The sequence below is a fragment of the Homo sapiens genome, chromosome 5 (genome assembly GCF_000001405.40).
Source record: "Homo sapiens chromosome 5, GRCh38.p14 Primary Assembly".
Classification (NCBI taxonomy): Eukaryota; Metazoa; Chordata; class Mammalia; order Primates; family Hominidae; genus Homo; species Homo sapiens.
Genome location: NC_000005.10, coordinates 104,567,711 through 104,570,604, shown reverse-complemented (window position 1 = coordinate 104,570,604; position 2,894 = coordinate 104,567,711).

Below are 2,894 nucleotides of genomic sequence, written 5' to 3'. Positions count from 1 at the left end.
AAGGAGGTATCCTTTGTCTGGAAATTGTCAGACATTCCCCTGGAAAATTACAGGCAGCAGAAAAAGCACAAATGGGGCAGAGAGACATGAAAGGATCAATTATTTCAGAGGAGCTTCCAGTGCTTTTGTTGTTGTCATGCTTATTACTAGAGCAAAGGTCGTATGTCAAAGTGTGCTAGGAAATGGGACCTTTAATAGAGCTGAATGCAGTGTCATTTTGCGATATGTATTAGAAAGGGAAGAGTGGAGTCAGAATGATATTCCTTGAGACTATGAGAGATGTTGAAATTCTAAAAGTAGGATCATGGGAATGAGAGAAAGACTAGATTTGAAAAACAGTTTATAATTGGAATTTACAGAACTTTTACTCATTTCGTGTAGCTTTCCTAAAGCAAAATCATTTCTTTAGCTGAGCTAGCTCAAGAGTGTCTTTATTACAATGTGTTCTTCTAGCTATAGCTAACATATTATTTTATGCTGGTTTCCCACAGAAGCATAACCTGAAATGGGAATAGGGTACAAGCACTTTGTTTGGTAGGTCATCCCAAGAAGTGCTGGTAGGAGCACAGGAATATGAGACAGAAAAAGAAAGGAAGTCAAAACAGGTGCATGAATGAGCAAGTTAACACTGTGAGTAACTGAGATCCAATCCCATTGGGATATGCTTCCAAGTTATTCCACCCAAAGTGTGATCCCCATTCATCAACTCCATCCATCAACTGGTTTTATACTACTCATGAGGGCTTTAAAATGTTTGCACTTTTGCCTTGACCCCTGCCCACAGACTGAGAAAAATGTAATAGCCAAAGAATGCCTTCAGACAGGGAGTCACAGGTGTTTGCAGTAAGAAGCTGTCAAACTGTGAGTGCCAAGGAGATTTGGGCGGGACCACAAGTCATCTGCTACACACATTAAACCAGTATTTCTCAACCTAGAGTTTATGCATGAGCTTCAACAATAAATTTTCTGTTTTTTAAAAAAGTTTTATCATCTTTTTAAACATGATATGTTTAAAAATGTGCTTAAGCATGTTCTAGACATGGATAGTAACTTTACACTTCTTGGCTACCTCATGGTTTCAGTGACTAGGTGACAAATTATACAAAGAGGTGCTAATATAAAGTTGAAAAAAAGAAAATGAGAGAAAAATTTCATGACATAATGTATGAATGAAGGTTTCAGAGAAGTTCATATAAAGTAGGGGAGAATTTATTCACCCGGTCCAAGCTTATAGAGATATATGGTAATCAGTTGAGTTGTATCCCCCTCCCCGACATCCAAGTTGAAGACATAACTCAGTACCCTGGAAATGTGATCTTATCTGGAAACAAAGTCATTAAAGATAGGATTAGTTAAGTTAAGGTAAAGTCATTAAGGTGAGCCCTAATTCAATGTAACAACTGGTATCCTTATAAAAAGCAGAAATTTGGACAAAGAGACACAGACACAGGAAAACACCATGTGAAGATGAAGGCAGAGATCTGTAAGCCAGGGATCACTAAGGATTGCCATAAACTCTTGGAAGCTACAGGAGAGTCCTAGAGCAGAGTCTTCTTTGAAGCCCTCAGAAGGAATCAACCCTATTAGCACCTTGATCTCTGACCTCTAGCGTGAAGAACTGTGAGATTACCAAACCTTATCACTTGTATCTTAGCAGGCAATATCAAATGCCACAGCCATAATGTGACTAAAATTCCTCATTACACATTGTACATCCCATTAGGTTATTTTTAATTTCAACTTAGTTGGTTTTATAGTCGTATTTTTATTTGTTTTGTATTTTTTTTTTTTTTTTTTTTTTGAGACGGAGTCTCGCTGTCGCCCAGGCTGGAGTGCAGTGGCGCAATCTCGGCTCACTGCAGGCTCCGCCCCCTGGGGTTCACGCCATTCTCCTGCCTCAGCCTCCCGAGTAGCTGGGACTACAGGCGCCCGCCACCTCGCCCGGCTAATTTTTTGTATTTTTGGTAGAGACGGGGTTTCACCGTGTTAGCCAGGATGGTCTCGATCTCCTGACCTCGTGATCCGCCCGCCTCGGCCTCCCAAAGTGCTGGAATTACAGGCGTGAGCCACCGCGCCCGGTCTGTTTTGTATTTTTATCATTATGGTTGTATAAAATTTATGAGCATAATGAATTAATAATTATATAATAATTTAAATTTAATTAAGGTTAACTTTTTGTTGTTGTTTGAGACGGAGTTTCACTCTGTCGCCCACACTGGAGTACAGTGGCGCAATCTCGGCTCACTGCAACCTCTGCCTCCTGGGTTCAAGTGATTCTCCTGCCTCAGCCTCCCAAGTAGCTGGGATTACAGGCACCTGCCACCACCATGCCCAGCTGATTTTTTGTACTTTTAGTAGAGATGGAGTTTCACCATGTTGGCCAGGCTGGTCTGGAACTCCTGACTTCAAATGATCCACCCAACTCAGTCTCCCAAAGTGCGGGTATTACAGGTGTGAGCCACCACGCCTGGTCTAAATAAGGTTAACATTTTAAATGAAAATTGCCTAAATCATTCATGGTTAGTAACAGAATATCTTCCTTCAAATGAGTTCCATTTAAAAGAAACCTTGAGAAATGCTGAATTAAACTATCAGCATCTTTTCCTTATTCACATAGTTTGATCGATCAGATTCAGAACATAGTAATTCAGAGAGTTTTATTAAGAAACACTATTACAGAAGTTTAGCCATGTTAGATTTCCGTTGGTAAAGGGAGTAGAAGCTTGATAAGTGACAACAATAACATGGACATCAGGAAAATTAGGAAGGAAAATCACAAGTTCTTAAGGTTGACTTTCTATGCTTACATTTTTTCATGAATTAAGGACCAACAATAAAAACAGCTCCCTTTGCATCTTCTTGTACCCCAGTGCTTCTAGAAATAAAATGATACT